General features: G+C 40.8%; 1 protein-coding gene across 11 annotated transcripts in view, besides 3 other annotated features; it reads left to right on the top strand.

Moving 5' to 3' along the window:
- TXLNB (taxilin beta) overlaps positions 1-13,112 on the top strand; it is a 164,789-nt gene that overhangs the window by 71,126 nt on the left and 80,551 nt on the right. For 6 of the 11 annotated variants that reach the window (XM_005266836.2, XM_047418253.1, XM_024446341.2 and 3 more), the window contains 3 exons: positions 4,916-5,008; positions 8,135-8,230; positions 9,511-12,764. In XM_005266836.2, the coding sequence (XP_005266893.1) occupies positions 4,916-5,008; positions 8,135-8,230; positions 9,511-10,299 (978 nt within the window). In that variant the 3' untranslated portion in view covers positions 10,300-12,764. Of the gene's footprint in view, positions 1-4,915; positions 5,009-8,134; positions 8,231-9,510; positions 12,765-13,112 lie in introns of those variants that run through there. The other 5 variants (XR_007059217.1, XR_007059220.1, XR_007059216.1 and 2 more) reach the window with 1 other exon arrangement.
- Positions 1,959-2,253: a silencer, noted in NCBI's record as "tiled region #11439; HepG2 Repressive DNase matched - State 12:CtcfO, and K562 Repressive non-DNase unmatched - State 12:CtcfO". NCBI's record gives its function as "represses a minimal TATA promoter and a strong SV40 promoter by Sharpr-MPRA in HepG2 and K562 cells {active_cell/tissue: HepG2 | K562}" and the evidence as "EXISTENCE:reporter gene assay evidence [ECO:0000049][PMID:27701403]".
- Positions 9,630-10,155: an enhancer, noted in NCBI's record as "H3K4me1 hESC enhancer chr6:139563807-139564332 (GRCh37/hg19 assembly coordinates)". NCBI's record gives its function as "activates a minimal SCP1, AML or CMV promoter by ChIP-STARR-seq in primed H9 embryonic stem cells {active_cell/tissue: H9 hESC(primed)}" and the evidence as "EXISTENCE:reporter gene assay evidence [ECO:0000049][PMID:30033119]".
- Positions 10,156-10,681: an enhancer, noted in NCBI's record as "H3K4me1 hESC enhancer chr6:139563281-139563806 (GRCh37/hg19 assembly coordinates)". NCBI's record gives its function as "activates a minimal SCP1, AML or CMV promoter by ChIP-STARR-seq in primed H9 embryonic stem cells {active_cell/tissue: H9 hESC(primed)}" and the evidence as "EXISTENCE:reporter gene assay evidence [ECO:0000049][PMID:30033119]".

Here is a 13,112-nt window from a genome sequence, read left to right as displayed (position 1 = left end):
AGAGACAGGGTTTCACCGTGTTAGCCAGGATGGTCTTGATCTCCTGGCCTCGTGATCAGCCCACCTCGGCCTCCCAAAGTGCTGGGATTCCAGGCGTGAGCCACTGCGCCCGGCCCAACAGGAGTCTTAAGTTGCAAAAAAGTTGAAGAACCGCTGGAAAAGATGATCTCAAGATGCTATTCAGCTGTAGTTCATGAGCATAGAGAACTTCCAGAGCTGAAGAAGTGTGGCCCTAAGCTAAGTTGACCCCGCCTTGTCCATTGCCTGCAGTGTTCCACAGTGCAGGCAGCCTCACTAATTGCAAGAACCCTCCTTTGTCTTTCTTTTTTGTCTCCAAGTTACCTTTGAAATTCCAATAATTACTTAAGCCTCAAGAATAAAATAGAGGTCCTGAATCCCTATGCGTAATCATGTTTAAACAAGCTCCTCATTAAAAAGTATCAACATTATATTTCTAAAACTTCTAAACTTTGAAAACAAACTCTATCACAGATTCTTTTGCATAACACTCCAACACTTCCTTTGGTTTTACGCTGCCTTTAAAGGGGTGGGAGTAGCAGGAGGCCAAGGCCAAGGCCCCATTTCTAAGGTCTGGGCAACAGAATTATCAAGGACAGATTGTGTTATTTTCCTAGAGAAGTCACTTTTCAGTCATAAGACAACTGCTGGCCAATTGGGGGCAGGCTTCTCACTTAGGGAAGCGATGTCTGGCTTTCAATTATACAAGCCAAGGCAACAGAATAAATGTCAGAGATGATCAATGGGATACAATTGTCACTACAAAATCGAGTGTTCATTGGATCAACAAGGATGAAGACAGTAGCAGATGTGGGAAGTCAGCAATATCTGATGTGGACGCAAAATACTACCCAAGGGGAAAGATGAGTGGGTAAATTGTGGAAAGCATGTAATCAGAGTCTTTAAAGTCTGAAGTCCTCCCCATACCTCTACAGGGTGAGAGGAGAGCACTGCTGCACCTGTTCTTGTCATAGGACTTAACTCCCAAACCAAATCTCACAGGTTCACCAAGATGATTCCTGGACACAGTTGTTTCCCATGTCTATGAGTGTCTGTAATTAAAATTTGGTGCTCAGTGAAAAGACTGTGTTTGTCACTTGGCCCATTTAAAAGTGAAATATTGAGGCAATTTTTGTTGTTGTTCTAATCATAGAAGAGTTTGTTTCTATTTCTGCCTCTGGCAGGGGAAATGCTGTGCATGACCTCTGGATGTCCTTCCCTGGCTCTGTGAAATACCAAAGTGAGACTGGGAATATGACACATGAAACCAAACATGTATCCTGTCAGCACGATAGTGAGAGGGAAGACGCTACCAAACAAATATCCATTTAGTAAACAAGAAGCACAAACATTTAGTAAGTAGGAGAGTGTTAGAGTTATCTGAGAAATCCATAGTTTTTGCCACCAGACAGAGAGGTCAAATAGGAAGAAAAGCAAAATGTTAGACTGGTCACTGGAAGGAAGAAATAGGGAATTGTTGTTTAATGTGTATAAAGTTTCCATTTTGCAAGATGGAAAAAGTTCCAGAGATTGGTTGCACCACACTGGAAATATACTTAGCAATTCTGAACTATACACTTAAAAATGGTTAGGATGGTAACTTTTGTGCTATGTGTATTTTACTACAATTAATTTTTTTAATAGAAAGCAAAAATGAAAACCATAACTAGAAAAAGCACAGAAGAGCTGGTGATGAATCAAGACACTACTTCTCAGAACTCTGGGTGTGTCTGTCTTCTCCATGCTCATGAGCCAGCAACAAGAAAACATAAGAAAAGGAAACAAAATCTGCCCAATTAATACACCACAAAGAACATTCTGCCTTTTTCTTTTTTAAAGCCTTTACTTTGAGACATAATGAAAAAATATAACAGGTACACATGGAAAAGTAAGACATGGTGACAGCCTTACCCAGTTAAGTGAAGACAATCAAACCTGAGGGCTTTTAATGCCTGTTAGCTCATGTTGAGGCTGAAGTCCTGGGGGTGGTTGTTCTTGCTGATTCCAGCAAGGCTGCATCTGTGAGATGGACCAGACATGTGCTCACTCCTGCCCCGTCTGTCTGCAGCCTGCAACTACAGGGCTGCAAGAGGGATCGGGAGGACCAGCTGAGGAGACCACAGTGTCTGAGGCCTCTATGTAACTCTGCTAGAGTTACTGATAAGTTGGAAAAAGAATGGGGAGAAATTAAGGAAAAAAGTTAACAAAAGAGGCCGGGCTGAGAATACAAATGAAAAGATTTTGTGATAGAAGGTGACCAGGATCTGCTGGGGGTAGTTGTTCCCACCCTAGGCCAATGGATGATGTACAGGATAGGTAGCCAGTCCCCAGGAGCTAACCCTAGGGCACAGTGTCTCAGACCAAGAGGTCTGACCCATTTGTGGGCCCTGAAATTAATTCTGGCCCACAGTGGATTCCAGCCAGTATTTTGAAAAAAAAAAAAAAAAAAGAAAGAAAGAAAGAAAGAAAAAACACAGTTGAACAGAATATGTCAGAGTGCATTGCACATGATTGGCTGGGTACAGTGGCTCATGCCTGTAATCCCAACACTTTGGGATGTTGAGGCAGGAGGATTGCTTGAAGCCAGGCGTTTGAGACCAGCCTGTGTTAAAAAAAAAAAAAAAAAAAAGCCAGACATGGGGCATGTGCCTGTAGTCCTAGCAACTCTGGAGGCTGATGCAGGAGGATCCCTTAAGCCCAGGAGGTTGAGGCTGCAGTGAGCTAGGATCACACAATTGCACTCCAGCCTGGGTGACAGAATCAGACTGTCTCTTAAAAGAAAGAAAAAAAAAACCACAGTAAACATTGTCTTATGCACCATGCGTGTGTGTGTGAGAGACAGAGTGTGTGTGTCTCTCTGTGTGTGTAAAACCCTAGAGCCCCTTCTTGGCCATGAATTCCTTGATGCCCCTTTACTCTGTCTTCTTTAATCTGTGTGTCAAGGAATCATGAGAAACAAATTTCGGTTCTGTCACATACAGTACTAATGAGAGAATTCAAAATGATAATCAGCTGTCATTTGGCTTTTCTTTGGATAATCTGTATTCTACCGAAATGATTTATGTTATTGCTGTCTACTGCAGTAAAATCTCTACTACTCCAAATTATTGGGGAAAACCCATTCTAGATAAGCAATTTTCTGGGCTCTAGGGGTTGTTTGACTCATACATACTCCCTCTCACACCCACACCCCAAGACTGGAAACTCTCCAATCTGCCAGCTTTCATTCAGGGTGCTTTCTGTACTTTAAAAAAGACAGTCTCACTGATAACACCGGTCGGTGCCTTCCTTCCAGCTGATAACCCAGCCTTCCTGGTCTATCCAGTGCAGCCAGGGCCCTTGTTTATTGACGGATGCTGCAAGTCTGCTTCTTCATACAAAAAACTATGTTGTATGAAAATGTTATACCCATTTGAAGACTTGGGACTATTCTGGACACTCAAGAGTACCAAAGATTCATTTGAAAATTGAGGCTTGACCAATCTGAATCATCCATACTAAATCCTCTCTTATTCAAAACATGCTACCCTAATATTATTTTCAAAGACAAGATTTTATTATTTTATCACTGTCATTATATCACTGATCAAGTATTTACACACTCTCCTTCCCTGTGTTGCCCCATTTCCACCCCGAATGCAAGCACTTGAATTAAGGACTTGGCGATACAAATGCTCCTCGCTATATCTCCATGGTGAGCCATACACTTGGCAAATGCTAACCCATACAATGCTTCTCTGCAAATTAGAAAAAGGCATCTCTTTTTCAAGACTCATTACTTCCATCTGTGGAAAACTGATGTAATAAACTGATTTTGATAAAAAGGGACATTTAACTGCTATTGGCTAGAATGCTATATTCATAAACATACAAAACTCTGATGTCTGAAACAGAAATGGCAACTGCCTAGAGTGGTGTACAACCTGTGTCATGGCAATGGCCCTTGTCCGTGTCCAGCCCACATTGCCTTTATCACGTCTTTTCATTTGTCTATTTTTTCCCTTCCTTCAAGACCAAGTTCCAGGTTCACCTTCTCCATAAACATGTGGCTCACATGATCACCTGCCATGCTCACCTTCTCCGATCACCCACTGTCCTTAACTGACTTGACTATGTAGCCATTGTCCCATAGTCAAGTTGTCTTTGAGATGGTCTTCCCATTAGAAGTGCAGGTCCCTCAAATGCAGATCCATGTGTTAAATACTTCTGTACATACAGTCCATGCATGTAGTACTCAATCAATGTTGATAAAAGTTTTAATATAATGAAATAACATATTTTCTTTTTTCATTTTTTTCTTTTTTTTTTTGGAGACAGAGTTTTGCTCTTGTTGCCCAGGATGGAGTGTAATGGCGTGATCTCTGCTCACTGCAACCCCTGCCTCCTGGGTTCAAGCGATTCTCCTGCCTCAGCATCCCAAGTAGCTGGGATTACAGGTGCCCACCACCATGCCCGGCTAATTTTTGTATTTTTAGTAGAGACGGGGTTTCACCATGTTGGCCAGAATGGTCTCAAACTTTTTTTTTTTTTTTTTGAGACGGAGTCTCGCTCTGTCGCCCAGGCTGGAGTACAGTGGCACGATCTCGGCTCACTGCAAGCTCCGCCTCCCAGGTTCACGCCATTCTCCTGGTCTCAAACTCTTGACCTCAGGTGATCCATCTGCCTTGGCCGCCCAAAGTGCTGGCATTACAGGCGTGAGCCACTGCGCCCAGACTATTTTTCCATTTTTCTTTAAAGAAGCATTTCAATCATGCTCACTGGCCTAGGTTAATCTTGTAGTAAATAAAATAATTAAACATATTACTAATACTATATTGAGAATTCCTTTAAATAATGAACAATGACATGTTTTCTTCTGGAAGTATTCTGAAAGATCCACTCTTTCCTCTGTTTACAGCTCACTCTCTACTCAGGAAGGTTTGAAGAATTCCAGAGCACACTAACTAAAAGCAACGAGGTGTTTGCCACGTTCAAACAGGAAATGGACAAAGTGAGTATTGCTTATCACCAACAAAATATTGACATTTTCTATTTTGACAGGCAAATTTCCTTTGGTTTCCTTTTTCTCTCACTAAGATATTTTGGTGCATTTCACAAAGTAATGAAATGTTTATAGGTAGGAATGAGGTTTGGGCTGTATTTTTTAATTGGTAAGTATCTAGTGAATTAATCTTAGCAGGAGTCCAAAAATTCTAGGTTTCATTTTCACTCTGAAGAAGAATAGTTCTTTTTCTAACCCATGGATAACTTAAAAAAAAAAAAAAAAAAAAAAAAGAAGACCAGAGCTAGCAATTTAACATGATGGTGTATATACTGAACTCAAAATATAACCTTCTAAGAATTAAAAAAAAAAAAACAAAAACTTTTGTCCAGACGTGGTGGTTCATGCCTGTAATCCCAGCACTTTGGGAGCCCAAGGCATGAGGATCACAAGATCAGGAGTTCGAGACCAGCCTGGCCAAGATGGTGAAACCCTGTCTCTACTAAAAACACAAAAATTAGCCAGGCGTGGTGGCATGCGCCTGTAGTCCCAGCTACTCAGGAGGGTGAGGCAGGAGAATCGCTTGAACCTGGGAGGCAGAGGTTGCAGCGAGTGAGATCACGCCACTGCACTCTAGCCTGGGCAACAGAGCGAGAATCTGTCTCAAAACAAAAACACAAAAAACCAAAAAACTTTTATATGAATATACAAAAGTAGAATGTTAGAATAGGAAATACCATCTTATAAGAACCTTCTTAGAAGAGAATTTAACTTATGTAATGTAATATAACTGACAGAGCCTTGAATGAGAAGATGGAAGCCTGAATTCAATTCTGGTGTGTTCTTGCTCATCAAGTGGTCTTACTCATCAATTCACTTAACTTCCTGAATCTAATTTTTTTTTTTTTTTTGAGATGGAATTTCGCTCTTGTTGCCCAGGCTGGAGTGCAATGGTGCGATCTTGGCTCACTGCAACCTCTGCCTTCCGGGTTCAAGCAATTCTCCTGCCTCAGCCTCCCGAGTAGCTGGGATTACAGGCATGCACCACCATGTCCGGTTAATTTTATATTTTTAGTAAAGACGGGGTTTCACCGTGTTGGTCAGGCTGGTCTCGAACTCCTGACCTCATGTGATCCACCCACCACGGCCTCTCAAAGTGCTGGGATTACAGGCATGAGCCACCATGCCTGGCCTCTAATTTTTTTTAATCTATGCAGATACTACTTTCCCTGCCTAACTCACAAGATTGTGAAGTTAAATTAATACATTTTGGAAGGGATTTTAACTTTTTACATGTATTTTTCAAATATAAGGTGCCAGTATTATAATTTAATGTAATGTTTAAAGCTTGTTCAGTGTCTTCCCAATACAAAATCAGCCATCAGAACTGTGTTTCCGAACAGGGATTGGCATTAATGGTTTTGAGGTGTAGAAAACATCCTCTTAAAATATATTTTTAAAATATTATGACAAATTTTACAATGAGCAACCTGAAGAAGATTGGCACTTGTTAAATGTTACAGTTCTCCCACTTCAGAATGGAACTATCCATTTGCTTAATTTTTTTTTGAAATTCTAGCATTTTAAGATTGGAATAAATTAGAACAGGAAAACATGTTTTTCAAAATTATGTAGTTTTAAGAGTGGAATAAATATTAAATCAGGAGTTCTTAATCTTGGGTCCATTTATGGACGTTAGTAGTTGACCTGAGAACTCTCTAGAAATTACCATAAAAAAAAATGATGCACATATGCACATTTTTGTGAAGTGTGGTCCCATAGCTTTCACCACATTCTTAAAAAGATTGATGACCTTAAAGTTTACAAACAACTGGCTGGGCGCAGTGGCTCATGCCTGCAATCCCAGCATTTTGGGAGGCTGAGGCGGGTGGATCACTTGAGGTCAGGAGCTCAAGACCGCCTGGCCAACATGGTGAAACACTGTTTCTACTGAAATACAAAAAAATTAGCCAGGAATGGTGGCAGGCGCCTGTAATCCCAGCTACTCAGGAGGCTGAGGCAGGAGAATCGCTTGAACTCGGGAGGCAGAGTTTGCAGTGAGCCGAGATCACGCCATTGCACTCCAGCCTGGGCAAAAGAGTGAAAAACAAACAACAACAAAAAAGAAGAAAACAAAGAAGTTTACAAACTACTAACTAATTTAAAATATGATCAAAATTAAAAACCTAGCTTGTCTGTAGAGCCAGGGGCTGACAGTCTTGGGCCCAGCCTCTGGCCTCCGTGGGTACCCAGCTTCAGGCAGCTTGGCACCAAGCAGCGAGTGCCCAGCTATGTTTCATCCAGGAAAACTGCACCTGAGTACATGCCTCGTTCTCCACTTCATCTAAGCAAAGAAGAGATCCTACAAACAAGAATGTGAGTAGCCTCAGGTTCGAAAAACACAGGCTGCATTTTATTCACTTCTTACTTCCTCGTACCCAGCCCAGGGCCTGGTGACCACCAGACATTCTATATGCTTCATTAAATGAAATAAAAGAATGGCAGCCCCACTGTTCTGTTAATTCACCTAAATATTACTCTACCTCTCCGAACTTCGGTTTCCCCATTTATAAAATGGGGGTGAAAATAGAACCTTCCTTGTGGGACTGTTTCAAGGATGAAACAAATAATGCATGTAATCACATTTTGTGAACTCTACCTCACTCTATAAATGTAAAGACCCAGAAAATACAGAGACTGCTTTTGTGCAGCAACTTCTCAGATGTGCCCAGATATTATCAACATTTTAATGGCTAAAAAGGCCATGCCAGCTTTCCCACTGTGATAGTCTTCTATTCAATACAGTAAATATCCTAAATTACAGGCTTGTTCATGGAACTCCATAAAGATATTCTTCTTTTAAATGAAAGAAAAAGCAGTGACAAAACCATGTGCCCCTAAGTCATTTCCCATTTCCTGAATTGGCTCAGGTGCAAATAAGTTTGCTTGCCACTGCCCTAGACGGCTCAGAAATAAATTATGACTCTGCTACAATCTTCATTCTTGACATTGAACATTTGTTTGCTTCAGCATCTGGTAACAAAAGGGCTTCTCCTGGTCTCACATATGGAGCTAATAGCTTCCTTGATATATTAACTTTTCAAGATTAACACACACTCACTCTAATTTCTGTAGACAACTAAGAAAATGAAGAAGCTGGAAAAGGACACAGCCACATGGAAAGCCCGATTTGAGAACTGTAACAAAGCTCTGTTGGACATGATTGAAGAGGTGAGGAAGTTTCTCCCTTAGCTTTAATCCCCTCTGTCTAGTCAAAACATTCAAACTTACGATACAATTATAACCTGGTAATAGTACAAATGGTTATGTGTGAAAAAGAGTTGAATTTGGGGTGGCAGGATGTGACATTTTAAATTGTAATAAGTATAATAAGAGCAAAGGTCATTTAGAATCAGGTCCAGACTCAGAAAGAGTTTTGTGACCCTAAGTCACATGCTTACCTGTTGATTCAATAGCTGTACCCAGGGCAGCTGTCCCCTTTAAGGGCTGTGAATTCCTTAAAGGTAGGATGAGTGTCTTATTTTACTTTAAATTTCCCCAGTGTCTGACACATAACAGGTGCTGAATAAATTAATTAGTTGATTTGAACATACTGCGAGAAGACACCAGCCCAAGAGTCCAGTGCATGTGCTATTTTCTAATATAAACAGATATGGAGATATCTTTTTAATTCCTCCAATAGACATTTAAACACTGATCTCATGCCAGGCTCCAAGTAGGTTTTGAGAGTCCAAAGGCAAAGATACATGGCCCCTGACCTGAGAGGTAGGGCTTACAGGTGAAGGTCTCTCCATGTATAACGAGTGGGGGAAAAAAGGTCTCAAAGGGACAGAGTAGCTCAGAGGTGAGGTGAAGGAGTGAGATAATTAGGAACATTTTCATGCACAAATAGACATTTCTAGAGGAAAAAACTGAACCGTTTGAGCAGCCAGCATCGTGAATTAGTATATGGTGAATTTCTATGGTTATAATTACTGCTCTAACAATTCTTCTCAAATTGCAACCAATTCCAAAGAGATATTACTCATCAACATAAATCAAATGGCTGCTGGGATTAGCACATAGCAGTTTATTCATAGAACAGATAAGGAAGGCATTGCTGAAACCCAAGTCCCAATCCATCTCATTTATCTTGCCGCAAGTCTTGCTTCTACCTTCTAAGTCTCAGAAGCAGAAAATTCATCCATAAGATTTGAGAGGCTATGGACCAAAGCAGAAGGAAGCCTGACCATCTTTCTTTCCCAATGAACAGGGTATGGTGATTAAAGAATCTACCAGTCTAGTACACAATGCCAAAAAAAAAAAAAAAAAAGGAAAGTGATGTCCATGACCAAGCATCTGTTCAGCCCCTACTCTGTAGCCAGGTCCCAGAGCCTAGTAGACAAATTCTGGGACAAATAGTTTTGCTTGTTTCCAGAAAGCATCCTGGACATTTTGCTTATCATGTCATTTCATCTGTGTGTGTATGTGCGTGTGTTTTCACATCACAGAAAGCACTGAGAGCTAAAGAATATGAGTGCTTTGTGATGAAAATCGGGAGGCTAGAGAACCTCTGCCGTGCTTTACAAGAAGAGAGAAACGAACTCCACAAAAAAATCAGAGACGCAGAAATATCTGAAAAGGATGACCAAAGTCAGCACAACTCCGATGAAGAGCCAGAGTCAAACGTCTCTGTGGATCAAGAGATTGACGCAGAGGAGGTTAATAGTGTCCAAACCGCCGTGAAAAATCTGGCCACAGCCTTCATGATAATTCATCATCCAGAGTCAACCCCGCACCAGTCCAAAGAAACCCAACCCGAAATAGGCAGTTCTCAGGAGAGTGCTGACGCCGCTCTCAAGGAGCCAGAGCAACCCCCTCTGATCCCTTCACGGGATTCAGAGAGTCCCCTGCCTCCCCTAACTCCTCAGGCTGAAGCCGAAGGAGGCAGTGATGCTGAACCTCCCTCCAAGGCCAGTAATTCTCCTGCCGGGTTGGGAGCAGAAACCCAATGCGAGGGTCTCCCTGTTGGAGCACAGGCTGATCAGGCGTCCTGGAAGCCAGAGGCAGAAGCTTCCGGTCAGGCCCCACAGGCTCCCACCGAGGCCTCCCTACAGAAGATGGAGGCAGATGTGCCTGCTCCAGCATGCGCAGCAGAAGAGCACGTTGCAGCCATGGTGCCTGCATGCGAGCCCAGTAGGCAGCCCCCACGAGCAGCAGCAGAGGAGCTGCCAGTAGGGGCCTCAGCTGGGCCCCAGCCGCGCAACGTGGCTGACACCAATCTGGAAGGCGTCGACTAAGCCTCACCGTGCCTTCAGAGGCTTCTTCCTGCCTCTTTGCATATTCAGCATAACAGCTTGTCTTCCGAAAAAGGCATTAAGGGCTAGAGATGTCAAATGGAAGAGACTTAGGATCAAGACATTTTTTAATGTTAGGCAGAACACATTCATTCAGACTTTGCTATTTGTTGTCAATTTATAGCTGATTTGAAGGTTTTCTATTTAACACTGGTTGACAGTATAATTTTCCCAAAGGGCAACAAAACATACAGATAGCAAATTTATATTCCTTTTCTGTTAAGATAATACTTAAATTTGTTAATCACCAGTAAGATTTGATGTTTAAAGACTTCCACTGCAATATATAAATACTGAAAATGTGATGTTCTGCTTATTTGGATATATAGTTTAACAAGTTCCATAGTAATTTATGGATGCCCAGGTTACATTTAAACTATACATATACATAATATATACATACGTGTGTACTTATTATATGTATATATACACGTATGTATAGATGTGTGAATATTTGTTTATATACATATATGCACGTATCTATATGTATATATAAATGCATTATTACACATACATTTCTCTCACCCCTTAATGCATTTTTCTCAATGCAGAATATTTAGATGCTAATCAAAAAAATGATCTCTTACTTGCACTTGAGACTATGGTTGACTAATGCTCTATAAATCCGAAGAGAGTTCGGACTATAAGTATTTAGGCTATCATTATGTTGGGCAAAAATAAGTAACCCAATGGTAGATAAATGAATTCAACCAGTTGATCAAATGGCAGAAAAGCAGTTAGACTACAATCTGTGCAGACAGCATGGACACAAAGATGACCACAAGGGGCCCAAAACAGAAAAGAGAAACACAAGCTCACCTCTTGGAGCTGCTTCTCCTACACTTCTCAGCCCATTGCTTTGCCACCCCCTCATGTGCCAGGGCATCCCATTCCAGGCTTCCTGCAAGGAAACGGTTGGAAGTGGGAAAGGGGAGCTAGGGATTGAGGGGTTAAGGGACCTCACACTAAGAAGGGGCTGTGCTTTGATCCCCTGCCTCTTGCACTACCAATGTCTCAAGACATAATATTCATCTCTTGCTGTCAGACCCATTCTATATTCTAAAAGCTTCTGCTCCTTCCTTCCCAATTTCTCCTTTGTAGCAGGAAATTACACCCAGCCCTCATCTCAATTAATGCTAAATAAAGCTATTGTTTTTCCAAAACACAAATCTACACTGGGTCTCAATATCAGTGATGAGGCTTACAAACCAACACGTTTTCTGCCATGAGGATTTCTCTTTAGGCCAGAAGTACAAAACAAAAAAACCAATGGATTTTAACCAAAATGATTTGAAATATAGGTGAGGATTCAGGAGAAGGCAAAAGCTAGAAACACTTGGGGTTGTCAACATGAGTATTACATTAACATTGCTTGATGAGAACCTCTAATGATACTGACAACATAAATTACCTAGGGTAAAGGATAGCTGCAACAATGAAACAGGAAAGAAGAGAGGGAGAGAGAGGAAAGGGAAGGAAGAAAGGAAGGAGGGAGAAGGGAAGAAAGAAACAATGTCTAACCCAACCCTATCTTGAAAGTTGAACTCAAGTAGAAAAATGGATAGAAACAAAATTCTCTAGTACTCATCCAGGAAACCATTCTTCAATGTTGCATGTGGCTGTTTGCCAAGGCACACAAAGTGCTTGTAGGCAGCAACCATATGCTACAAGAATTGTAAACTGCATACAGTTTGTTTGAAGTAGACAGTGAGGATAATAACAAAGTTGCTAGGCAGGAAAAAAAATCAGGAAAAAAGCTTGTCGCTATTTGAGAATCTGTATATTTTTAAAGGCTTAAAATATTATAACCACAGGGTATCCAGCCAAATTCAACATTACTGCAAGTCTTAGAGATTTAAACATTCATTTGATTCAGAGCTAAATATTCACCATAATCCAGGAGGGTCTCCTTCCCCACTGCAGAGGCAGAACGTCCAAGAATGGAGTAAGATTAGTCATAGTAAAGTCTCAGTCTGAATATTTAGCAAGAGAAACAGGCAGCAGAGGAACCCAAAGGCAGTAAATCAAATATTCTAAAACCCAAAGTTCATTATTTTCATCCAAAAGACTTTCACAGAAACACATTACTCACAGCCATGTATATCTTGGACAGAGTTTCAGATGGAATGACTTGTCTGAAATTTGTAAAGCTTAATATAGGTTTTGGGGGAATTATTTTAATATTCAAAGAATGTTTTATTATAGTCCTTTGTGTTAAAATTTAGCCTTACTAATTATAACAATAACTCATAAAGTTCTAAATTCAGAAGGAATGTCTGTTCTTTATCAAGTGTATGTAACTATTTTTTAGAAATGCCATCTACTTTCTAGAAACACTAAAGTTATTGTTTTCTAAGTTAAATAACTATAATTTATATATCTATTAAAAAGGTACTTCTCTTCCCAAATTCTCTAGTACTCATTTTATTTTTTTAACTTTGACTTATTTTATTTTTGTTTTTATTACTTCTATGTTTCGACAATACCTAATGAAAATTATGGTTTTATTCTGTAGTTTATTAAGTTTTTGGTCACTAAATAGAATTACGTGTAGTCAACACTTTGAAGATATTGGGGGCGGGGGTGTGTGTGTGTGTATGTGACAGACAGAGAGAGACAGAGAGAGAAAGGGAGGGAGAAATAACAATGAGGCTACAGTTACAAATCACGGAGGCCAGGCATGGTAGCTGACGCCTATAATCCCAGCACTTTGGAAACTAAGGTGGGAGGATCACTTGAGCCTGGGAGTTCAAGAC

The sequence above is a fragment of the Homo sapiens genome, chromosome 6 (genome assembly GCF_000001405.40).
Source record: "Homo sapiens chromosome 6, GRCh38.p14 Primary Assembly".
In the NCBI taxonomy this organism is placed as follows: Eukaryota; Metazoa; Chordata; class Mammalia; order Primates; family Hominidae; genus Homo; species Homo sapiens.
The sequence above is the reverse complement of the archived record's forward strand: the minus strand, read 5'-3'. Positions and strand labels throughout refer to the sequence as shown.